This window comes from Homo sapiens, chromosome 9 (assembly GCF_000001405.40).
Source record: "Homo sapiens chromosome 9, GRCh38.p14 Primary Assembly".
In the NCBI taxonomy this organism is placed as follows: Eukaryota; Metazoa; Chordata; class Mammalia; order Primates; family Hominidae; genus Homo; species Homo sapiens.
Window position 1 is genome coordinate 37,505,035 of NC_000009.12, and position 24,313 is coordinate 37,529,347.

General features: G+C 49.3%; 1 protein-coding gene across 7 annotated transcripts in view, besides 3 other annotated features; it reads right to left on the reverse strand.

The window, feature by feature from the left end:
- Positions 1–5,857: 5,857 nt before the first annotated feature.
- Positions 5,858–24,313, reverse strand: part of FBXO10 (F-box protein 10) — a 65,489-nt gene continuing 47,033 nt past the window's right edge. For 5 of the 7 annotated variants that reach the window (NM_012166.3, XM_047423220.1, XM_047423219.1 and 2 more), the window contains 7 exons: positions 24,090–24,226; positions 20,068–20,138; positions 17,791–17,943; positions 16,535–16,804; positions 13,091–13,404; positions 10,870–11,051; positions 5,858–7,687 (listed from right to left, as the gene is read on the reverse strand). In NM_012166.3, coding sequence (NP_036298.2) covers positions 7,513–7,687; positions 10,870–11,051; positions 13,091–13,404; positions 16,535–16,804; positions 17,791–17,943; positions 20,068–20,138; positions 24,090–24,226 — 1,302 coding nt within the window. In that variant the 3' untranslated portion in view covers positions 5,858–7,512. Of the gene's footprint in view, positions 7,688–10,869; positions 11,052–13,090; positions 13,405–16,534; positions 16,805–17,311; positions 17,455–17,790; positions 17,944–20,067; positions 20,139–24,089; positions 24,227–24,313 lie in introns of those variants that run through there. The other 2 variants (XM_005251439.6, XM_047423222.1) reach the window with 2 other exon arrangements.
- Positions 6,532–7,088: an enhancer, noted in NCBI's record as "H3K27ac-H3K4me1 hESC enhancer chr9:37511563-37512119 (GRCh37/hg19 assembly coordinates)". NCBI's record gives its function as "activates a minimal SCP1, AML or CMV promoter by ChIP-STARR-seq in primed H9 embryonic stem cells {active_cell/tissue: H9 hESC(primed)}" and the evidence as "EXISTENCE:reporter gene assay evidence [ECO:0000049][PMID:30033119]".
- Positions 10,364–10,865: an enhancer, noted in NCBI's record as "H3K4me1 hESC enhancer chr9:37515395-37515896 (GRCh37/hg19 assembly coordinates)". NCBI's record gives its function as "activates a minimal SCP1, AML or CMV promoter by ChIP-STARR-seq in primed H9 embryonic stem cells {active_cell/tissue: H9 hESC(primed)}" and the evidence as "EXISTENCE:reporter gene assay evidence [ECO:0000049][PMID:30033119]".
- Positions 23,937–24,306: an enhancer, noted in NCBI's record as "active region_28395". NCBI's record gives its function as "activates an Ori minimal core promoter by ATAC-STARR-seq in GM12878 lymphoblastoid cells {active_cell/tissue: GM12878}" and the evidence as "EXISTENCE:reporter gene assay evidence [ECO:0000049][PMID:35858748]".

Genomic DNA, 24,313 nt, shown 5'->3' on the forward strand with positions numbered 1-24,313 from the left:
TCTCAGGGTCCTGCTTCAAGTGGGAGCAGTTGAGATCTGTGACACTCAGCACCTGGGAGGCCGGGTCAGTGAAGGGAGGGAGACAGAACTCAGCTCCTCTGAGAGGAGAAGTTTACACAGCACCTGGGGCCCTCCATTTGGGAGTCACAGTGGAAAGGAGTCTTGGCTGAGCTTTGGGGCAGGTGCACCTTATTTTCTTTGCGGTCTGGGATGCCCTCAGAGCTGTGCTCCTCTGCTTTGTCCCCATCTGCCTCTGGCCCTGGGTAGGAGGCACTTGGAGCATACTTTGTCTTCCTTCAGCAGAGGTGTGGGCAGGGAATCTACTTGTCTCTTGTTTTCCTTTAAGCCGTTGTGAAAATCAAGTATGTGACTCTTCCTTGGAAAAAATAATCTCTCAGAAAAGGACTTCTAATACATCCTCAGGGTAGAATGTGTTTCCGTGATTACTTTTTTTTTTTGAGATGGAGTTTCGCTCTTGTTGCCCAGGCTGGAGTGCAATGGCGTGATCTTAGCTCACTGCAACCTCTGCCTCCCGGGTTCAAGTGCTTCTCCTGCCTCAGCCTCCCGATTACAGGCATGCACCACCATGCCCGGCTAATTTTGTATTTTTAGTAGAGACAGCGTTTCTCCATGTTAGGCTGGTCTCAATCTCCTGACCTCAGGTGATCTGCCCGCCTCGGTCTCCCAAAGTGCTGGAATTATAGGCGTGAGCCACCACGCCCAGCCTTTTGTGATTACTTTTAAAATTCAGCTGGGTTTGACACTTGGAGGCTTAATTTCTGGGAATGACTGGACACAGCATGTGGCTGGGACCCTCTGAACAACCTCTGACCTAGTGGAGAAGCAGGTGGTAATGACTGTAGGTATGGATAGGGAAAGACTAGGCGGGCAAATACTTGTCGTGTGTCAACAGGTGTATTTTGCTAAATGTCGGGGACACATTCCAAGAGGCTAAAAAGCAAATTTCTGTACATTAGGAGATTTGTGAGTCCTTAGGAAAGGCTCAGAAGAGGGCTCCACCTAGCACAATACCTGACATAGAAAGTGGTCAGTGTCTGCAGAATGAGTCGGCATGAACCGTACTTTCCTTGGCAGGGTTATTAGGTGGTAAATACCTGCAGAATAATGGGATTGTACTAGGGTTTCTTCTGGCTTTAGAAACCCATTTGTTTACTAATAGATTCCCAGAGGATACCTTGATCTCACCAAGCTATTTGCCAGAATGTCTCCTGATGGCCTCATTGAAGAAAGGGGGACTATGAGCCAGATGCTGGTGCCCTGAAGATTTGTAGTTTGTGGGATAGTCTTAACTTGGCAGGGTTTGATTAACAGAATGAAGTCTGTTCCTTAGAGGGAAGTCTTTGCTTGCTGCCCTGACCTGCTGGACACTGTTAATTGGGATGAGGTCAAAGAAGGCATAGTTACCACATTTGCAGGAGACCCTAACCTGGAAATAGTAAATTACATAACATTCTTTCAAGTGTCTCCTCTTTTAAAAAAGTATTTTGATATAGTTTCACACAGAGAAAACTTGCAAGAACTCTTGTATATCCTTTACCCAGATTCTCCAACTGTCAATACTTTGTCCCATTTACTATTTGCTTTAGACATTTTGAGATTTGTTTTTGAACCATTTGAGGAAAACATCCTACCCTTCTACCCATAAGTACTTTTTCAGTGTGTACATCTTAAGAATCAGGACTTTCTCTTCCATAACCACAGTCCATCAGATGCAGGAAATAAGACAATAATGCAATACTATGACTTAGCCCACAGTTCATGTTCAAATCTTACCGATCACCATGCCTCTTTGGTCTTGCTTAATCTGAAACAGTTCAGATTTTTATTGGACTTTCTCGGCTTTGACATTTTGGAGAGTGAGGTGTTATTCTTTAGGGTGTCTGTCAGTTTACATTTGGGGCTTTCCCGTGATCGGATTCAGGATTTACATTTTTGGCAGGAACAGCACAGAAATGATGCTGTGACCCACATGCATCACATTAGGGGCCCATGATGTGGGACTGCGCTTTCCTTGCTGCTGTTAACTTTTATCAGTTAAGGTTGTGTTTTCCGCATTGTGAAGATACTGTTTTTCCTTTTAATAAGTAATTTCTGGAGGGATACTTTGAAACTAAGTATCCTGTTCCTCATCAAACTTTCACCTACTAGTTTCAGCCTCAATTGATGATTCTTGCTGAATCAATTACCAAGATGGTTGCAAAATGGTGATTTTGCAACATTATCGTTTCTTCTAATTATTGGCATGCTCTTATAAGGCAGTTTGTTTTCTCGACCTTAGAAGTTTTGTGTTCATTTAGTTATTGGCATAGACTCAAGAGTCTTGTGTTCTATGTGGAGTCTGTTACTGTGATTCCTTGTGATGTCCAGATTGTATGTATTTGGCCAATCTTGAGTTCCTTCAGGAAACCTCCTGGATCCCATCATTTTAAGGGTGCTTCCTTACTTTCTAGCATGAGATATTCCAGGCCTACCTTGTACTTTCCCTGCTGCAGCCCTGGAGTCAGTCTTTTGTTGTGGTTTTGCTTTTTAGAGACAGGGTCTTGCTCTGTCGCTCAGGCTGGAGAGCGGTGGTGCAGTCAGCTCACTCCACTCCTGGGCTCAAGCCATCCTCCTGCCTCAGCCTCCTGAGTAGCTAGGACTATAGGCATGCACCACCACGCCCAGCTTTGAATCCGTCTTTTATCCAAGGAGCTCTGGCCTTTTAGCGGAGAATAGCGGATGACATGAATGATGGGCCTGAAGCAGGAAGTGAAATGCAATCCTGACCACCAGACAGATGGGATCTTCAGCTGCACTCAGGCAAGAACTAGGCTCGGGGTAGAGGTGACAGCTCTGTGATGGGGAGCTCAGGCTGCACCAGGAGGCCATGCTAGGTTTGACTTCATTTAAAAAGCACACTACACAGCTGACGGGCTCAGGAGCTCCATGAAGGGCACCCTGCAGAGGTCTGGAGGGTAGTGAGAAGGTACCAATGGGGCGAGCATGCCTGTGTCGGGAGGCTGATCCGGGTAGGAATAAGCCCAGCATGCCCCACATGAGCCCACCATGAGGAAGCATTTGGAGAGAAAGCTTGCTCTGTGTTGTCAGAAGGGAGATTGAAGAAGGTGGGCCCAGGGGTGCTGTTGACAGTATAGGCTCATGTGCTGTTCCAAGGCTCATCTCTGGCTCTTGCCTGGTCTGGCCATACCATGTCCACATCCGCTGTACTTAGGACTTCCTCTGGGCACCAGGGCAGTGGCCTCACCAAGACCTGGAGGCCTAGATGATGAAATCATACTGGTGTTTGCTGTGCTTGTACATTCCCATCAGCAGACATCCGTGTTTGGGCCTGACTGGCCAACAGGGAAGTCCAGGGAGGACACAGTATAAGCTGCTTGGGTAGAGGTCAGCTGGAACCTCTTGTGAACTCTGCACCAGAGTGAAGCCTTCACCCATGGCAGTATTCCTGTGGGTGGGAGGGAAGCTACTGCAGACTGAAAGCAAATGATTCCAAGGAAACACAGTACTTTAGAGAATTCTCTTTAGATCCGTGAGTGCTGCCCATGGAGCTGGGCCATTCCTCCTGAGATACAGGACAGGACGCCTCAACTCTGCTTCTTTGGGCTCTCCCAGACCTACCCAGGCCACTGGAGTGAGTCTAGAGAAATGACCAGGGTGGTGAAGAGACACCCTGCAAACTGGCACATACGAGAGGAACCCAGGAGGGCAGCAGACCCCAGGGGGATGAGGGTGCTGCCTGCAAATCTCTGAAGAGTTGTCACAGAACAGAGTGAAGAGATGTCCTTTGGGGGCCCCAGGAGGTAGAGATTCTGGGAATGAGGTTGGGTTTGTTTCCTCATTTGTCTGCCTGTCTGTCCGCCATCCATCCAACACTTAGTGAGCTTTGCTCTGTGCTGGGCATAGAGAATCAACAGTGAACAAGATGGGCAAAGTCCCTGCCCTCAACCAACAGACTGAAAAGAGAGGATTCAGTGCCATCTGCAGGTGGCATGTGGCTGAGTGGGCACAGGAGCATGGAGAAGGCGCAGTTAACTGTTATTTGTAGAGACAGGGGAAGGTGTTCCATAGAAGTAGTGACTAAGGAGCTTCTGAAGGAGGGGTAGAATTTAGCGAGGGAGAGAGACTTTGGCTCAATTAAGTAAAAAGTTAGATGGGCTCAGTTTTCTTGGGCAAGTCTGGCCTGTTGTGCAAAGCACCCGCACTCCCTGACTCTTCCCCAAACACAAGAGCTAAGGTGGGTGTTCTGTTCCTCCCACTTCTGCCTCCAAATGACCTGGAGGGAATTTGTGTCCCAGCTGTTCCCTTCCCTGCCACCTTTGCTCCAGGTAATAGCCCTCCTCACACCTCTCCACATCTGATAGGGAACTTTCCCCTGCCGGATCTCAGGAGCATCAGCACTCCCAGCCTCCAAAATGGGGACAATGAGCTCACCAAGTCAATGTTTAATACATTATTGACAGAACTTACGATGATTTTAGGTGGCTCAGGGATGTAGTAAAGTACTTGTGTTCTGCTGGTTAGGCTAAGCTGAAGTGACAAATGGCCCTCAAATGTCTGGTTTCAACAAAAGTTCATTTGCTTTTGTTGAATGTCTGGCACATGTCTGTCAGCCAGCAGGCACCTGGGACCCTGCTCCGGGTTAGCTTCACCCCGGGACTCGGGCTGCCATGTCTGACACGTGGTGGTCCACTGGCAGAGGGACACACGATCGGGGCAAGTTCTGCTGGCCCTTAAAGCTTCTACCCAGAAGTGACCATTAACCACTTCTGCCTACATTCACTGGGCAAATCAGGTCCCATGGCAACGTGAGAGGGCATGTACTCTCCCTGAGGGGCAGCAAACAGTAACTACCAAAACCAATGAATATTTTCATTTTAATAGTTTAATGTATGTTTATAGTAATATAAAAAGTCTTTTCAGTGTGTGAAAAAAAGACATGTTGTAGGATGGGATCCTGGAATGGAAAAAGGACATTAGGTAACAAACTAAAGAAATCTGAGGCCAGGCACAGTGGCTCATGTTTGTAATCCCAGCACTTTGGGGGATTGAAGCAGGCGGATCACTTGAGCCCAGGAGTTTGAGACCAGGCTAGGCAACATGGCAAAACCCCGTCTCTACAAAAAAATACATAAATTAGCCAGGCGTGGTGGTGCATGCCTGTAGTCCCAGCTGCTCAGGAGGCTGAGGTGGGAGGATCACCTGAGTGAGCCTGAGGAGGTCAAGGCTGCGGTGAACCATGATCACACCACTGCACTCTAGCCTGGGCAACAGAGTGAGATCCCGTTTCAAAAAGAAAAAAATCTGAATAAACTATGGACTTTAGTTAATAATGTGCCAGTACTAGTTTATGAATTTTTACAAATGTACACTGATAGCATAAGATGTTAATAACACAGAAACTCGGGGGTGGCAAGGGTGATATGGGAACTCTAGTAATCATCTGTCTGCTCAATTTTTCTGCATATTTAAAACTTCTAAAAATTAAGTAGATTTAAAGAAAAAAGTACTAACTTCTCAGGTGACATATGGATATAGCAAAAATTCTAAGATGCTGAGTAAGTGAAGTTGGGGAAGTGTGCTCCGGGGTCTGAGGTCCCTAAGCTGACAGTCCAGTGATCCATGGGGACGGCCTGTTTCTGTTGTCTTCACAGAGCAGGCAGGAGTGGAATTATAGCCCGATTGAGCCCTTCAGCCCTATATCTGGAACTGTCACAGGAACAAGCTGACCCAACAAGATGGCCCCAGGATTCTCCTGTCTCCTTCAGAGGAAACAGTGCTGGGCCTGGCCAGCTGGGAGCCCCAGTATATGCCCAGACTAAGGAAAGGCTTCCAAAAGTGCCTTTTTTAAAATATAGAACTTTATTTTGGTTACTGAGGTTTTTGTTACTGTTGGTTCACAGAAAAGTCATTTCTTAGAAAATAGTAACGGCAGCATTTTTTACAGCGACTCACATTGGGGCCACCAAACAAGTGCAAAGGACAGTGCCAGGGATAGAAGAGGCCAGTACTCTTGTGCCCAGTGTTCTCAGGGAGAACCCAGTGCTCCTGGCTCCCTCTACCCCCTCCCATCCCACCCAACAGAGCAGCACCTAGGGCCAATAGAACCAGCCACGCAGCCAAGTGCACGACAGTGACCCCAGCAGGCTGGTGAAGGCCCCACAGGAAAGGCCGAGTGGGAGGGGATTGTTCAGGTTGAGCTGGCCCTGCATCCAGCCCTCTTCCTCAGGCAGTGGGGTCTGACCTCACCTGGCTTTGGGACTTGGACATATTCACAGTACGGTTCAGTAAAGTCCTCTGGGAGCTGGCCTTCCTCTCCTCACTCAGGCCACTAATCCTACCCCAACCCCAGGCTGGATCTGGGGACACACAGTCAGAAGTGGCCCTACCTACGGGGAGCACACAGGTGAGTGGGGGGTCAGGCAATGGACCCAGATAGCTCCAGGACAAGGCAGAAAGTGCTCAGTACCCTGAGAGGGAGCAGAGAAAGGCCACTGAGGCCCAGAGGGGGAAAGAGGGCAGGGAGAGCTATGTGGAGGTGGCAGTGTCTCGGCTAAACCTTGAGGAACGAGGACACGGAGATGGGGGAGAAGGGCATGCCGGGAGGAGGAAAGAGCATGAGCCAAGGCACAGAGTGGGGAGGCTTGGGAGGGTCAGTAAAGACCAGCGCTCATCCATGAGAACACAGATGCGAACGAGAGGCCCAGGTACCCTCATCTGAACAGGCTGATGCTCAGGAGGGGCGGCTGGTGTGGGCACGCTCACATGGGGTTTGAATCCTTCTGCATTTGGGAGCTCTCTGGGGATGGAGTAGAGCCTTGTGCATCCCTGCCCACCCAGCCTAGCATCTGCCTGCACGCTGCAGCCCCACCTGTTTCAGCATGTCCCTCTTGTCATCCCTGGGGCAGCCTTTCCATGGGGTCTCCTGTTGCTCCCAGGTCCTTCCTTCCTCCCAGGTCCATGTCCAAGTCCTCAAGTCAACCAAACTCAACTCCTCCAGCCTCCAGAGACAGCTGGGAGGGTGTGGTGGGGTCCCTGGAGGGATTGAGAGGGAGACAGCTCTAGCAAAGGGGAAAATTCTGGAGCAGTTGTCTCTCTCCACCTCACTAGAATCACTTCCCGCCATCAGAAGTAAATCTGCTCTTTCCTGAGAAGAGTCTGGGTTTGGTGTGTGTAAAACACAGTTCCTTAGAACTCAGAGAAAATCCTGACCAAAAGCTTCAGCATTTGAGCTTCCCCCGCTCTTCACAATCTTTATAGACTTCGAGTGACTGGAAACCCACCAGCTTCTATCCCTTCTCCCTGAAAAACATTGCCCACTTTCTTCTTGCTATGGGCTGTGGAGCTGAAGTGTTCTGGAGGTACCGTGTTTTGGAGGCCCGGGACCCATTTGTTCGAGGGGGAGGGGGAGGGGCGGAGTCTTTTCAGGCAGTATTTCCACCTTAGCTCCTCTGAGCACCCATCCAGGCTTGGCCCTGAAGCAGGTCTGTGTCCTCACAGGATGGTGCAGAAGACACTGCGGTTGCTGTGGTAACCACCTTCCACCCGGGCTGTGATCCTCGTTGCCATGGCTGTCACCTTCTGCCCATTGTGGGCTGCCGAGGGACGTCTGAGAGAATTTTCAAGGTGGGGCCGTGCTGGTGGGTTCACCAGGCGCCACGTATCAGACCTGGAGGTGCAAAACGAAAGTCAGTGAACTTCTGAGGGGTGTGCAGTGCTGGCTGAATGCCCTGCACAGTCTTAACTTGGGTTCCAGATCGGTGGATCCAGGTGTTTAAATCTGGGTGTAGGTTTTATCTTCCAGTTTAGTGTTAGTCCAAAGAGGTGGGCTGTTGAGAAACTAAGGAGCAAAAGCCCTGCATTCCACGTCCAGCTCTGCCTTCAACTCTGCATGTAGCCTTGGACAAGGTCCCTCTGTAGGCCTCAATTTTCCCGCTTTGAGACACTCTGTTGCCCAGGCTGGGGTGCAGTGGCACGATCATGGCTCACTGCAGCCTCAACCTCCTGGGCTCAAGTGATCCTCCCACCTCAGCCTCCCAAAGTGCTGGGATTATAGGCTTGAGCCACTGCATCCAGCCGACTTCTCCACTTTAAATAAGGATCTGGATAAGATCATAGGGTGGTTGTTGTGAGACAGGGTCTCATTATGTTGCCCAAGCCGGTCTTAAACTCCTGGGCTCAAGTGATCCTCCTGCCTCAGCTTCCCAAGTAGCTGGGATTATAGGTGTGTGCCACGGTGCCAGCTTTTCCTCTTTCATTTCTTTTCAGCTCTATGACCACAAATGTTTATAGAAGCTTTATTCATAATCACCAAAAACTAGAAACTACCTAAATACGCTTCAGCTGATGAGTGAATAAACTGTGCAGTACACCCATACAGGGGAAGACTACTCAGCAATTGAAAGGAATGAACGCCTTACATGCAACACCATGAATGAATCTCCAGCATGTTAGGCTAAGTGAAAGAAGCCAGACTCAAAAGACTACATACTGCAGGATTTCTGGGTTTTTTTTGTTTTTACTTTTATTTTTTAATATATATATATATTTTTTCCGAGACGGAGTCTTGCTCTGTTACCCAGGCTGGAGTGCAGTAGTGTGATCTGGGTTCACTGCAACCTCTTCCTCCCAGGTTCGAGTGATCCTCCTGGCTCAGCCTCCCGAGTAGCTGGGACTACAGTTGCGTGCCATGATGCCCAGCTAATTTTTGTATTTTTAGTAGAGATGGGGTTTCACCATGTTGGCCAGGCTGGTCTCGAAATCCCGACCTCAGGTGATCCACCCACCTCGGCCTCCCAAAGTGCTGGGATTACAGGCGTGAGCCACCGCACCCGGCCACGATTTCTTTTATATGACATTTGGGAAAATGCAAATCTATGGGGGATAGAAGTTGGTGGGTTTCCAGTCACCCAAACTCTTGTAGAGAGCATGGAGGGCCAGGGAAAATAAAATGATAGTGAAGCTGTGGTCAGAGTTTTCTGATGCTTGAGTTACAAGGAACCAACTTTACACACTAAGTCTCCATTTGCTTAAGGCAACACATTGTCTTATATGTATTTTTATGATAATGATGTTACAATGAAAGGACTGGAAAGGTGTGGACGGAATCAGAGGTTGGCTACTAGCATGTGAATAAAAAGGCCTAAGCTATGTTGGGAGGACTGTATGTATTTGAGTTTGGCAGCAGGGGAGCACTACTGAAAAGGAGTGATGAAATGAGAGGCTGGAAAAGACAATTAGGACCTCAGGGTACACAGCGGACAATACCAGAGCTGGCATTGGCAAAGTCCGGGCTGTATCCTGTACCCTGGGGTCTCCAAAGGGAAGGAGGAGGTGGATCCCAGGGAGTCCACAATATAATCTGCTGGGATATTGGAAGAAAATACTAGAATTTTGGTTTTTTTTAACTGTATACTTTAAAATTTTCTATTTTGGGGATAGTTTATAATGTAAATAATATACTGCTAGAATACACATATATAAGTTATAAATAGGTATACCGGTGAGGCGCGGTGGCTCACACCTGTAATCTCAATACTTTGGGAGGCCAAGGCGGGTGGATCACCTGAGGTCAGGAGTTCGAGACCAGCCTGGTCAACATGGCGAAACTGTCTCTACTAAAAACACAAAAATCAGCCGGGAGTGGTGGTGGGCGCCTGTAATCCCAGCTGCTCAGGAGGCTGAGGCAGGAGGATCGCTTGAATCTGGGAGGAAGAGGTTGCAGTGAGCCAAGATCGCACCACTGCACTGCAGCCTGGGCAACAGAGTGAGACTTGGTCTCTAAATAAATAAATAAATAATTAGGTATACCTACATCGGGGGGTTTCTTCAAAGAATATTTTTTCCCGAGAGTGTGTGTAATACAAAAAGTATGGAGATCATTACAACAGAACATGAAGATCCATGAGAGGTTTTAAACCATGGATGTGATGTGACTGACCAGAGCTCTCACTTAGAAAGATTAACCTGGCAGGATGCATGGGACAACCTCCAGAGTGGAGCAGGGGGTGGCCACGGGCAGGGAGACTGGCAGGAGGCTGCTGCAGGGGGACAGGTGACATTGGCGGTGCAGGAGTGATACCAACTACAGCAAATATCAGTATGATTTTACAACCAGAATGTGAAAGCGAAAGCACGGACCAATCAGAACACAGCCCAAGCAGAAGCAACTGGAACAGCTGTGCATTGCAGTAACACAGGCGGTACAGGTTAGGGTGAGCGGTGCTGAGACCTGAATTAGGATGGGGGCAGTTGGGGAAGAGGAGGTGCTGGAAAAAGGAACATTTTAGAAGCAGAATCAACAAGACCTGGTGACTGACTGACTGGACATCTTCGGATTAGGGAGAAAAAGGCAGCAGAAGTTTTGTTGTCAGAACACTGAGTGGATGGTGATGTCGCTGAAATGGAGAACGTGAAAGGACAGACAGGTTTGAGGAAGATGGGTGGCGGCAATTGTGATACATTGAGGCAGAGTGACTAAAGGACAGCAGCAGCATCAACTAACATTTTTACAGCCCCTCAGAGATTCAGCCAGATAGTGTGATCTTATTAAATGGATTTTACTAAGGCTCGAAGATGTGAAGTAAGTTGCCCAAGGTCACACAGCCAGTAACCTGCAGAGCTGAGATCTGAAACCACATACCCCTGACTCTTAAAAAGCTTGTTCCCTCCTGGGGAGTCCTCAGCCCGGGCCTGACATAGAGCCAGGCACAGGCCTTTTTCTGACTGGAGTCGACAGCTGGCAGGGTTGCAGGGAGCCCGGGCAGCCACAATCCCTGGGTGTGGGCCTGGCTTCTTCAGGGAGCTTACTGTGGCTCTAGAGGACTCGTTCAGGCAACCCCAAGCACTCACTTTTTCTTGAAGACCAGGAACTTGTTGTTTTGCATGATGCATTCTCGGTTGTTTGAGATCTGCTGAAAGATGGTCTTACTGGTTTTGCCCTGGAAGATGATGTTTTCCTGCACCAGGGCCTTGGCACGGCCCCGCACGGCGATGCCGTAGGCCCGGAACGAGTGGATCCGGTTCTTTATTACCTGGGAGAGGCAGCCAGAGATTGTCACACCTCAGGGATTCACAGACTGAGTGGGAGAGCTGGGCAAGTGAATTATCAGTTCTAAAACCAAGAGGCAGGAACATGCCAGGCAGGTCAGTGAAGAGCCTATGAGCTCAAAGAAGGGCACCAAGAACAGCCTGGGGGAGCCAGGGAAGGCTTCCTGGAAGAGGTGATAGGTGAGTTGTAGGCATTTATCAGATGCACAACAGGGAGAGCTGTTGCAGGAAGGAGAAACAATATGCAAAGGCCTGGCAGAGAGGGGAGGCAGTGTCAGAAGTCAGGGCCACTGGCAACCCAACTGAGACGAAAGTGTGTCCCTCTCTCCCTTCCTCTGCTCCCACAGTGCTCAGAGGCAAAGCCCCAGCATTTTTACTCTTTGCCTAAAGTCACTAACCCACGAAGCTGCAGAACTGTAAAGAGGCTTTAGGCGACCCAGCAATCCCACTACTGGATGTCTACCTAAAGGAAAAAAAGTCATGTGCACACGCATATTGATAGCAGGACAATTTACAATTGCAAAAATATGCAACCAACCTAACTGCCCATCAGCCAAAGAGTGGATAAAGAAATGTGGTATAGGCTGGGTGCAGTGGCTCACACCTGTAATCCCAGCACTTTGGGAGGCTGAGGCAGGTGGATCGATCACCTGAGGTCAGGAGTTTGAGACCAGCCTGACCAACATGGTATCTCTACTAAAAATACAAAATTAGCTGGGCATGGCGGCACATGCCTGTAATCCCAGCTACTTGGGAGGCTGAGGCAGGAGAATGGCTTGAATCTGGGAGGCGGAGGTTGCAGTGAGCTGAGATCATGTCATTGCACTCCAGCCTGGGCAAAAGAGTGAAACTCCATCTCAAAAAAAAAAAAAACAAAAAAAAGGTGGTATATATATACCACAGAATACTACTCAGCCATAAAACAGAATGAAATAACAGCCTTTGCAGCAATTTGGATGGACTTGGAGGCCATTATTCTAAGAGAAGTAACTCAGAAACGGAAAACCAAATATCCTATGTCCTTACTTGCTCACTACTTATAAGTGGGAGCTATGCTAATGACGAAGAAAAGGCATAAGAATGATATAATGGACTTTGGTGACTCAGGGGGAAGGGTGGGAGCAGGGTGAGGGATAAAAGACTATATATTGGGTACAGTGTACACTGCTTGAGTGACAGGGGCACCAAAATCTCAGAATTCACCACTAAAGAACTTATCCATATAACCAAAAACCACCTGTACCCCAAAAACTGTTGAACTAAAAATAAAAATAGAGCCCTTGGGATCGTAATTCCATAAGGGCAGGAACAAGATCTGTTTGGCTCCACAGTGAAACGGAGCTCTGCATAGAAAGGTGCTCAGAGCTCAGTCCGGTGGGGAGACAAATAGGTGAAGGAAGAGATACCAAGCCCTGTGGGGAGTGCTCTGTGAGGACCAAGCCCTGTGGGGAGTGCTCTGTGAGGTATGTGTGGACAAAAGCACTAGACAAGAGATAACTCAAACAGCCTGGGGTGGGAGGTGGGAGCTCAGGGACTCTTCCTGAACAAAGATACAGCTAAGCTGCAGGACTGCAGTGCAAGGCGGGCAGGAGGTATGCAGGGTATATAGGGAAGAGTGTATGCAAAGGCCCCAAGGCAGGATCTCTCTCTTCATGAAGCATCTACTGTACAGCAGGCACTGTGCATGATTATTCTGTTAAGGAAAGAGAGCTGAAATAGTCCTGACCTTGACCCGGAGACCATGAAGATAACTCGGGAGGCTCCCAACACCATGACAAGGAGGGGACACCCCATCCCTGGCTTCCTGCTGGTGAGCCCTTGTTCATCCTTCAGGACTCAGCTTCTCCGTCCCCCCCTGTGGGAAGTCCCACCCACATTTCCCAGGCTGAGTCCTGGCAGGAGGGATACTGTCCCTTGTAGTGCTGAGTGATTACGGTTCTGTTCTCAGCAGAGGCCACGAGGACTATCCCAGGGTTGTGCCCTGTGTGGGCACCACACGTCACACACATGCAGACATACTCACTTTAGTGTCGGACCTGGGCAGCAGCTGCAGCCCGCTGCCCCGGTTGCCAATGATATCGTTTTCAATGACGATGGTGCTGTCGCCCTTGGTGATAATGCCGTGGCCTCTGTTGTCATAGATACCATTGCCCCGGAGCTCCACTTTGCACTGGGCCTCAACCTTGACCCCACTTTGCCGGTTGCAGGAGATGCTGTTGTTGGCCACTCGGGTGGGTTGGCTGCTCTGGGCCACAGTAATGCCTCTGTCCCCATTCGCGTGGATCACATTGGTGATGACATGCAGTGCCTCGCTGCTCTGGACATAGAGTCCTGAGGCTATGGGTGGAAGGGTTGGAAAGCACAGGGGGTCCCAGGGTCAGCCCTGACACCACCAGTCAGGAAAAGCCTTCCCTGAATTGTGCACTCCGGGAGAACGGAGTGGAGAAGAAGAGGTACCAACACTCAGAAACAACCCTTGAGTTTGCGTCTTCCAAGCTGATGAAACAGCAGGAGGAAATCCAGGTGCGTCAACAAAACTCTGGTTCTTCTGCATGAAGTCCTTATTCAGTGTAGCCAGGGAAACACCATGTGAGAAGGCTCCTCTGGCCTGAGCTCCCACCGTGTGCTTGAATGCCTCCTGCACCACCGCCATCCTACTGCCGCTTACACCTCCCTGACGGGGTGCTCACTGCCGCCTCAAGGCTGCTCACTCCCCCTCTGGACAGGCAGATCTACTCATTAGAGGGTTTTGCTTTGCTCTCCTTCCTACACTAACCTGGAATCTGCCTCCCTACTGTTTGGGGAAATTTTCTTTTTTTTTTTTTTGAGACGGAGTCTCGCTCTGTCGCCCAGGTTGGAGTGCGGTGGCGCCATCTCGGCTCACTACAAGCTCCGCCTCCCGGGTTCACACCATTCTTCTGCCTCAGCCTCCTGAGTGGCTGGGACTACAGGCACCCGCCACCACGCCCGGCTAATTTTTTGTATTTTTAGTAGAGACATGGTTTCACCGTGTTAGCCAGGATGGTCTCGATCTCCTGACCTCGTGATCCACCTGCCTCGGCCTCCCAAAGTGCTGGGATTACAGGCGTGAGCCACCATGCCTGGCCGGAAATTTTCTTCTTAATGTAAGTTCTGTAATTTTGGAGTACAAAAACTTACTAAGCGAGTAATATGTGTCAAAAATGTGTTTGAAATTTGGGAAAGGAAAACTGACGCTTGCGGTTGTGTGTACTTAGAGACACTAGGTACATGAGGAGAAAAACCCCAAGTCAGCAGGATTAGAGCTCCATGGCTTGTCAGGAAAAGAAAGCAGGGCAGCCAGACCCGGGGGCGAGGAGAGGAGGGCTCTGCGGTAGGTCCCTCTGCCCACCAACAGCAACAAGGGTTGGGGCAGTGCTGGGGGAGGTTGTGTGCAGGACAATGACTGGGGCCCTGCAGCAGTGTCTGGAGCCATGAGCCTGCAAGCTCAAATCTCTTGGTGGCACCAGCCTGTTGCTTCTCCTGGCTTGGTTGAGAACAACAAAAATAAGTATTTGTGAACGTAGGTGGCTTTGCCTGTCGTACCGGACAGACAGCATGGCCACATGGAGGAACCTCTGACCTGGGAGGAGACAGAACTCATTTTCTGAATAAGTGGGTTGGGGCTGCTGGTTATCCATCTCCCTGTCCTCTACCACTACCAGAAGCAAGTGCTTACCAGGCCCAGGAATCTCTTTTAATTTTATTTTGTTTTAGAGACAGGGTCTTGCTCTATTGCCCAGGCAGTAGTGCAGTGGCACCATCATAGCTCACTGCAACCTCGAACTCTGAGTCCTGAGCTCAAGCATCCTCCTACTTCAGCCTCCCTAGTAGTTGGAACTACAGGCATGTACCACCATGCCCAGCTAATCTGAAAAAAATTTTTTTTTTCTCAGTAGAGATTGAGGTCTCTCTATGTTGCCTAGTCTGGTCTTGAACTCCTAAACTCAAGCGATCCTCCTGCCTTGGCCTCTCAAAGTGTTAGGGTTACAGGTGTGAGCCACTGCGCCTGGCCCAGGAATCTGTTCTGAATAAGCCTTCCTCCATTTCCCGACCCACCCATCCATCCTACCCTCCCACCCCCACCCCACAGTGATTTTGATAATCAGGAGGCTTTGGGAGCCCTGGAGTTAGGTGAACTACACAGTAATTATTTTTTTTTAATTCAAGAAATATCAAACATCTTCTACCATCTTTTTTTTTTTTTTTTTTTTCCTTTTAAGACAGGGTCTTGCTCCTGTCACTCCTGAGCTCTGAGCACCTAGAATACCGTGGTGCAATCACACCTCACTGCAGCCTTGAACTCCTGGGCTCAAGCGATCCCCCCGCCTCCTGAGTAGCTGGGACCACAGGCACATGCCACCAGATCCAACTAATTTTTCTTTCTCTACTCCTTCTTCTTCTTTTTTTTTTTTTTTTTTTTTTGTAGAAACCAAGTCTTGTTATGTTGCCCAGGCGGGTCTTGAACACCTGGCCTCAAGCAATCCCCCAGTCTTGGCCTCCCAAAGTCCTGGGATTACAGGCTTGATCCCTGGCACCTGGCCTCCATTTTTCATCAGGTTTAGGATAACATGGATTTAAAACACTTTTATTTTCTGCCTCTCTAAGAAGGAAAACTCACTGCCAATTAAACCATGATATGCATCTCGTGGGAGATGTTGAATTTTGAGAAATGTATCCTAGAGTTGATTAAAAGCATGTGTGCCAGAGGTGGGATTTGGTACTGCAGGGACAGGGGCACTGAGCTGGGTGGGCTTCAGTTCTTTGTCTCAAGTTCATGGCCTATCAGTGTTGATGAAACAGCCACAGAAATAAATACAGTCGCGAGGCCTCATAACAAGTGCCAGTGGGGATGGGGAGGGCCCAGTTCAAAGGAGGAAGGAATGAAGGGGGATATTCACAACAGGTTTTGAAGTTCAAGTTAGTTTGGGACGTGTGGATGGGAGAAAGGCATGAGTGAGGTCAGCAGGTTAGGAGGCAGGAAAGAATGGATTCAAGTTTAATGAATAAATACAGGAGGATTGGGGATCAGGCTGGAAGAAGTGGCTGATGAGGCCTGAGGGCAAGTTGGGATCAGTCTGCAGAAGGCCCTGCCTGGCGGCCGCACCGTCTCAAAAATAAGAAGCACCTCTGCTCGGCCGCCCCACCGTCTGGGAAGTGAGGAGCACCTCTCCCTGGCCCCCACGCTGTCTGGGAAGTGAGGAGCGCCTCTCCCTGGCCCCCACACTGTCTGGGAAGTGAGGAGCGCCTCTGCCTGGCCGCTGTGCAACCCTCCAAGTGTGAAGTGGCAACCTTGTGTGTGATTTTTCTGCCCTACCCAGGTTTGCATCTTTGACATTAAAGTTTACTTTTAAATTTAAATTAAATTAAAAGTTTTAAATTGGAGAAAAAAAAAGACAGTGGGGAGCCATGGAAGGTTCTTGAGCAGGGGCTGAGGGGGTATACTCACCTCCATTGTGATTAATACTGTTAGACTCAACAAGAGCTATGGTGATGGGCCGGCGCAGTGGGTCGTCCTCCTTCTCCAGCTCTGTCTCCCAGAGGATGGCGTCCCCATCCTCGCTGAAGTTCTCTTGAGCCCTGTGGCCTCGAGGTAACTCGCTGGAGCCATCCTTCTGGCTAAATACTGCCACTCCATACAGGCCATTGTAGCTGACGTGGTTGCTGGTGACATGGGGGAGGCTGGACGACATCATCCACACACCACAGCCCTTGTTAGCTGGGACAGTGAGAGGAGCTGGTCACCGACACTGAACTCAGGTGAAGCGGCACCTGAGTCTCCCTGAGAGGGGAAACAAAAGCCACTGGCCTGGGAGAGAGTCCCTGCCTTGCTAATGACCTCGGACAAGCCACCTGATGGCTCTAGCTGCAGACTTCACCTTCACACAAGAGAGGTCATCAGGATCAGGTGAACCTCACAAGCTCGGCTCGTTCCACACAGTGTGAAAGTGCTCTGAGGACTGTCAGGCCACATGTCCACATCAGAAGCACATGAGCCCACAGTGACAGTGCCAAGGGGGCACCAATCCCTCCCTGCATAGGAGGCAGCCTCAGTTGGAATCCCAGCCCTACCACTTCCCAGCTGTGAGACCCTGAGCAGGTTACCAGACCTCTCTCTGTCCCTCAGTTTTCTCATCTTTTAAATGGGGTTAATAACCGTGCCTCCTTCAGAAGGCAGTCATGAGGATTAAATGTGATCATGCATAGAAAGGGCTGAGTAGAGAGGTGGGCCTGAGTCATCTTTATTATTATCACTGTATTATTAGAGATAGAGTCCAGACAGATGAAGGCTCTGCCCAAAGTCACTGCGTGAGTGAGAAGAGTTTTCTTCCTGTGATTATCTTGTTTTCCCATTATATTTTCCGTTCTCTGGGATCAAAAGAAAGGATAAGAGGAGTTAGATGCACATGAGCCAGGGCTGAAATGGTCCTGTCCTTAAGACATGACACAACTCCTGTCTTTTGCTATTTTAAAAGGGGATAAAGCCTTCTGCTTTGCTAACCCCACGGGGTCAATCTGGACTACAATGTGATTTGTAAGAGGCTCTTTGTTCTGGGAGGGCCTGGGTGACTGTGGCCTGAGAGTGCCTGTTCAGATGAGGTCTTTGAGGCACAGGGAAAGGCAGTGACCTTCTCAGGACCCACAAGCTGGAGATGGAACCTGGGCTTCCTGCCTCCCCGGCTGGGTTGGGAACAAGCTCCTCACCGTAGATGGTATTTCCTTCTATGAGGCCTTTGCCTTCGTCTCCCACAACCACACCATCTGAATAGCCAAAGCAGATGAGGTTACTCCTGAGAACGGGGATCCCTCCACGGCGGATGTCCACACCTCCCCACTGATTCTCACGGATGACATTTTCTATGGAGAGAAGCAGAAAAGAAGGTCAGTACCCAAGGGCCAGCTCCAGTGCTGGCAAATAGGACTTGGACAGTTTTGATCAAGGCTACTCCAGACCAGAAGGCCCTGGCCTTACCCTGCCAGCAATTAGCACTGTAAATCTTGTCTGCTGTCTGATGTTTCAGGGACTTATCTGCTGACTCCTTTCCCCAAGGGCAAGGCTTGTGTCTATCTTGTGCACTCCTATCTCCCCGGCACCTACTATACACCCAATGGCCTTGAGGACTGATGATTAAAAATGAACTAGTTTTGGCCAGGCATGGTGGCTCATGCCTGTAATCCCAGTACTTTAGGAGGCCAAGGCGGGTAGATCACTTGAGCCCAGGAGTTCCAGACCATCCTGGGCAAAATGGGGAAATCCTGTCTCTAAAAAAAAATACAAAAAAAATTAGCCAGGTGTGGTGGTGCGTGCCTGTAGTCCCAGCTTCTTGGGAGGCTGGGTGGGAGGATCACTTGAACCCTGGAGGTCAGGGCTGCAGTGGGCTATAATCGAGCCACTGCACTCTGGCCTGGATGACAGACTGAGACCCTGCCTCAAAAAAAAGAATAAACTAGCTTTGGTGAGTGACACTGGTGTCCAAAAAACCAACCAACCAAACAAAAAGGAAACAAAACAAAGAATAGGCCGGGTGCGGTGGCTCACGCCTGTAACCCCAGCACTTTGGGAGGCTGAGACGGGCGGATCACCTGAGGTCGGGAGTTCGAGACCAGCCTGACCAACATGGAGAAACCCCGTCTCTACTAAAAATACAAAATTGGGCGTGGTGGCACATGCCTGTAATCCCAGCTACTCGGGAGGCTGAGGCAGAAGAATCACTTGAACCTGGGAGGCGGAGGTTGCAGTGAGCCGAGATCGCGCCATTGCACTCCAGCCTGGGCAACAAGAGTGAGTGAAATTCCGTCTCAAAAAAAATAAATAAATAAACTGGCTTTAGAGTCCTCAGAGGCAGAATGTGGCCATTTACCCACAAGCCTGTGAGAAGGCGCTAGCCTCACCTGCAATGGCTCAGGAGTCTCTGTGTGACTGGCCTCTTCCTGTCTCCATGTCCCCACTGCAGGCCCCTTGTGCACCACACTCCAGTCCCACAAGCGATGTCCACTCGGCCATGCCAAGTCTGTTCTCACAGGCGGCCCTACACGGAAGGTTCTTTCCCAGCTCCTCCAGCCACTCCCACTCAGGGTCTGGTTTCCTTGTCACCTTCTCAGAGGGCTGCCCTGACCACACAATCCCAAATGCCTACCCAGTCCCTCTTTTGCCTTAATTATCCATAGAGCACTTGTCACCCTCAGATGGGATGTTTTTTGCTCATATACGTAGGCTTTTATTTATTTATTCGCTTCCTCTCCTAAAATGTCAGTGGCTGACAGCCTCGTTCACTGCTGCACTTGTAGCTCCTGGAACACGGCCTGTATACCACACGTGCTCAATCCATGTCTGATAAGTTCAGTCAGGGGGATTCCCTGGACCAGTATTTGCGGAATCCCTTTCATATCCCAGGCCTGGCTCTGCTCTGTGCTGAGGCTACATTGATGTACCAGATGGACTTGACCCTCACCTTGTGGAATTTACCACTTTATAACAGAGGAGACGGACACCACAAACCACTAAGAAATTAAGTCAAAGGCCCTAGAGAGGAGGCATCCTGGGTATAGTGAGTGTATCTGTGTACAATGGGGAAGTCAGGGAAGGCTTCCCTGAGGAAGTGACAGTTAAGCTAAGACCCAAAGGATAAGCAGGGGTTAGCCGGGCGGAGGTTTCCAGAGCAGGCAGAGGTCCGCACAAAGACCAAGAGGAGGGATTTGGACAGGTGGTTGGGCATCAGTGCTTCTGAAACTGTTCTGTGAGCCACCTTGTGAGGGCCTGTCGGCTCTGGGCCTGGAAGGAGCAGACACCCACTCTGTGTTAGGCCCTCCTGTAAGAAGCACAGCCACCATGCAGCTGGCGTCCCTGAGCTCCAGCCCACCAGTCAGAGAAAGAGGCCATAGTCTGTGGGGGTAAAGGAGCAGTGTGAGGTCCTGAAGCTGGGGGGTGACGCCAGGGGACCTTGGCCTGGCTGCCAGGTGCCAGGCAGTTCCCATCCGTACCTGTGATGAGGCCTTTGCCGTTCTCATTCACTGCTATGCCGGCAGCACGGCCCTTGAAGATGTGGTTCCCGCTAAAGTGGAAGGAAAACAAAACAAAGAGGTGAGCCCAGGGCATCAATGTCATGCTTCCAGGAGACTGCCTTCTTTCATGGAAACCCTGTCTCTACAAAAAATACAAAAAAATTAGCCGGGTGTGGTGGTGTGCACCTGTAGTCCCAGCTTCTTGGGAGGCTGGGGTGGAGGATCACTTGAGCCTCCCTATGGCTCAAGTCCACAGGGGCATAAAAGCATTTCCTAAAGTCCCTTTATAAGCCAGGCATATAGAAATGTTTAGTTGTCACTGGGACAGCTTGACCAAAAACTAAACCCCCAACTATGCTATACACGCACAATGATATCCAGTTCACTGTAGCCTCACTTGACTGTCATCTACATATATACCCATGCATATATATATACATTTTTTTTTTTGAGGTCTTGCTCTGTTGCCCATGCTGGAGTGCAGTGGCACAATCTCAGCTCACTGCAACCTCCACCTCCTGGGTTCAAGCGATGTTCGTGCCTCAGCCTGGATTACACGTGTGCGCCACCACATCCAGCTAATTTTTTGTACTTTTTGTAGAGATGGGGTTTTGCTACGTTGCCCAGGCTGGTCTCGAACTCCTGGCCTCAAGTGACCCATCCGCCTCAGCCTCCTAAAGTGCTGGGATTACAGGCATGAGCCACCGCGCCTGGCCTTATATGTATTTTATCCAACCCTCAAATGTTTGAACCAGAAAATGTTTACAATTTTTTTGTTTAAGACATGGGTTCTCGCTATGTTGCTCAGGCTAGCCTCAACCTCTTGCACTCAAGTGATCCTCCCACCTCAGCCTCCCAAGTAGCTGGGACTACCAGCATGAGTAACTGAGCCCTGGCATATTTTTACTACAAATCTCACCTCCAGAAAGGATCCGTGGCCACCTGGAGAAGTGTGTGTATGTGTGTACATGGGGCAAGCAGAATAAAGATACAGGAGGGATGAGAAAACACTTAGAAGAAGGGGACAGATCAGTGTACCAAGAGCCCAGGATGGGATATTAACTGCAGATGAGCACAATTTGAGTCCTGTGCTTCTCTGCATCCAAGGAAAAAAGAGAAACATATATAACATATAAAAAGACAAAAAATATAACTTTCTGTGGCAAAAATAGATCCTATGGTTTGTCTCATCCAGGCCATTACAGGGATCTTAAACTTCATTCCGTATCCTGCTCCAGACTCTTATCTCTCATTGCAAAGAAACAAAGGAAAAAAGCACAACCTATTCTCTCAAGATGACTATGTTTTAAAAACCCAACACTGATCTAATTATGATATTCCTCACCCAAAACTCTTTCATGGTTCCCCAGCATCCCCAAGGTAAAGCCCAGACTTTTCAGCTTGGTGTATTAGTTTCCTATTGTTACTATAACAAATTACCACAAACTTGGTGGCTTAAAACAATACAAATTTCTATCTTTCAGTTCAGGAGGCCAGGAGTTCAAAATGGGTTTCACAGGGCTAAAATCAAAGTGTCAGCAGACCTGTGTTCTATCTGGAGGCTCCGGGGAGAATCCACTCCTCATCCTTTCCAGCTCCTAGAGGCCGCCTGCACTTCTTGGGCTGTGGCCTCATCACTCTGACTTCTGCTTCTGTCCTCACATCTCCTGCTCTCTTATTTATTTATTTTTTAAAATATTTTATTTATTTATTTATTTATTTATTTATTTATTTATTTATTTATTGAAATGGAGTCTCGCTCTTGTCACCCAGGCTGGAGTGCAGTGGCACGATCTCGGCTCACTGCAACCTTCGCCTCCCGGGTTCAAGCGATTCTCCTGCCTCAGCCTCCCAAGTAGCTGGGATTACAGGCACCTGCCACCATACCTGGCTATTTTTTATATTTTTAGTAGAGATGGGGTTTCACCGTGTTGGCCAGGCTGATCTCGAACTCCTGACCTCAAGTGATCTGCCCGCCTCGGCCTCCCAAAGTGTTGGGATTACAGGCATGAGGCACCGCCCCGGCCCCTGCTCTCTTAATCTAATTCCCCTGCTTCCTTCTCATAAGGGCCTGTGGTTACACTGGGCCCACCTGTATCATCCAAAATAACCTCCTTTCATCTTTCTCCAAAGTCCTTCACTCAATCAAATCTGCAAAGTTCCTCTTGCCTTGTAAGGCAACATATGCACAGGGTTCAGGGACTAAGACATGGACATCCTTGGGGCCATTATTCTGCCTATCATGCTTGGCATTCAAGGTCCTCTGCCGTCCAGCAACAACCTGCCTTTGCACTATCCCTCTGGTATCTCGTGTCCAAACACACCACATTTCTCACCATTTTCTCAGACATACCCTGAATTTCACTGCCTCTGGCCCAGAATGCCTTTTCCCTGGCCATAAAATCCTATTTATCTTTCAAGCACAACTCAAATGTCAGCTCCCTGACATGCTCAGCTGAGATCACGGCTGAGTTCCTTGGTCAGTCTGCATGAATGCCTAGTAAAGTGCTCATTTTGGTGAGTCTTCCATCATGGCTGTGTGAGTGTGTGTCCATCTCCAGCATAAGACTGTCAACTCCATGGGGCAGGCAGGGACTGTTCTTGTACATGTTGTATATCACTGCCCCCTTATATAGAGTGGCTGGAATGTGTGTTCAATGAACAGCACACACACATACAAATACACACTCTTCTGTTCAGGCAATAATGCAGAAGAAGGGAAAGAGCTCTATGACCACTAATTGTTTTTAGTAAGCTGTCTGTAACAGTGAAAAATAGGATTATATTCCGTAATTTTTGAACCAGCAATTAGGTCTGGTTCAAAAATTATGGCATATCGAAATACTGGAATATGGTGAAACTTTCCAAAGTGATGAATGTAAAGGCCATGCATGCAACAACATGGAGACAAAGTACCTATGGAATAATGCTGGGGGAAAGCGCTCTGAATATACTTGCTGCCCATTAATGCCAGCTATTCTCCTAAAGCACAGACATAACTGTGTGAGTCTTCTGCTCAGAGCCTTTAATGAGTCCCCGCTGTGTAGACAGAATAGGCTCCCCCGCCTCAGCTTGGTCTACATAAGGCCTTCCTCATCTGGCCCAAGCCTTTCTTTCCATCATTCCTTTCCACTCTGCTGTGTGGCACAGATGGTCTGCCGCAAGGACGTCAAGGGTCACACTGCAGTGACCACAGGGCCCAAGATATTCTGGGACCATCCCAATTTAAAATATTCTATAGCACTGTCACACCATGTCAGATTTTTTCTCAAGCCACCGTCAACGGTTTGCTAACCCCTGAATCTGCTGTGCCCTGCTGCCTTTGCTCATGCTGTTCCATTACTAGGAACATCCACCGACCCCTCCCTACCCCTATCTCCATGAGTCCAAGTCTTACCCATATTCCAAAGTCTGACTCTGATGCTACCTCCTAAATGAGGCCTTCCCACATCCTCCTAGTCAGAATGAGTCTCTCCTTCTGGTACCACTCTGACAGCATTTATCACAGTCTGCCCCATACTAGAGCTGGGATGGCAGACAGGGTCCCAGGACTGCCACTGCTGCCTCCCACCTATCACTTATATCAGTCCCTGACCACAGCATGCTTTTGTGCTGAGGCCAGGTGCAGCACCAGGATGTTGACACAGCACCCCCAGGCACCACTAGCAAGTAACTGAAACTGTTAGGTGAGCTGAAATCTCTGTTCCATCCCTGCCTGGGGGTACTTCTGTGCCCATTTCTCCAGGCTAGAGTAAGCTCCCAGGGAGCAGAGCCTGCCCATGTTGGAAGTGCTCAGTAGTGACTGCCGAATAGAACGCCTACACGGAGTTCACTGGAAGGGCACATAAACACAAAAGCCGCTGTGTTACTGGGGTGGGATGATGAGTGAAGTCTCTTCTCTGCTTGCATCTGTACAGTTGTTTCCGTAAAGAGTGTTTTCAAATGGAGGAGAGACAGGGAGGAGGTTAACAAAGATGAAGGAGGGAAACAGCAGCACACACCTCACAACGGGGTTTCCGTGGTACAGGATGTAAATGCCAGCCTCCTTATTGGAAAAGATTTGATTGTTCCGGATGATGCCTTTCCCATTGCCAAGGACGACAATGCCAGAGCGAAGGCCATGGTGGATCTGGTTACACTGCAAGTGAAAATGAGACACCACAGAAGCCAGATCAGACACGTCAGCGAAGCAGAGTGCCCAGGTGCCGCCCACACCTCCGCGGCA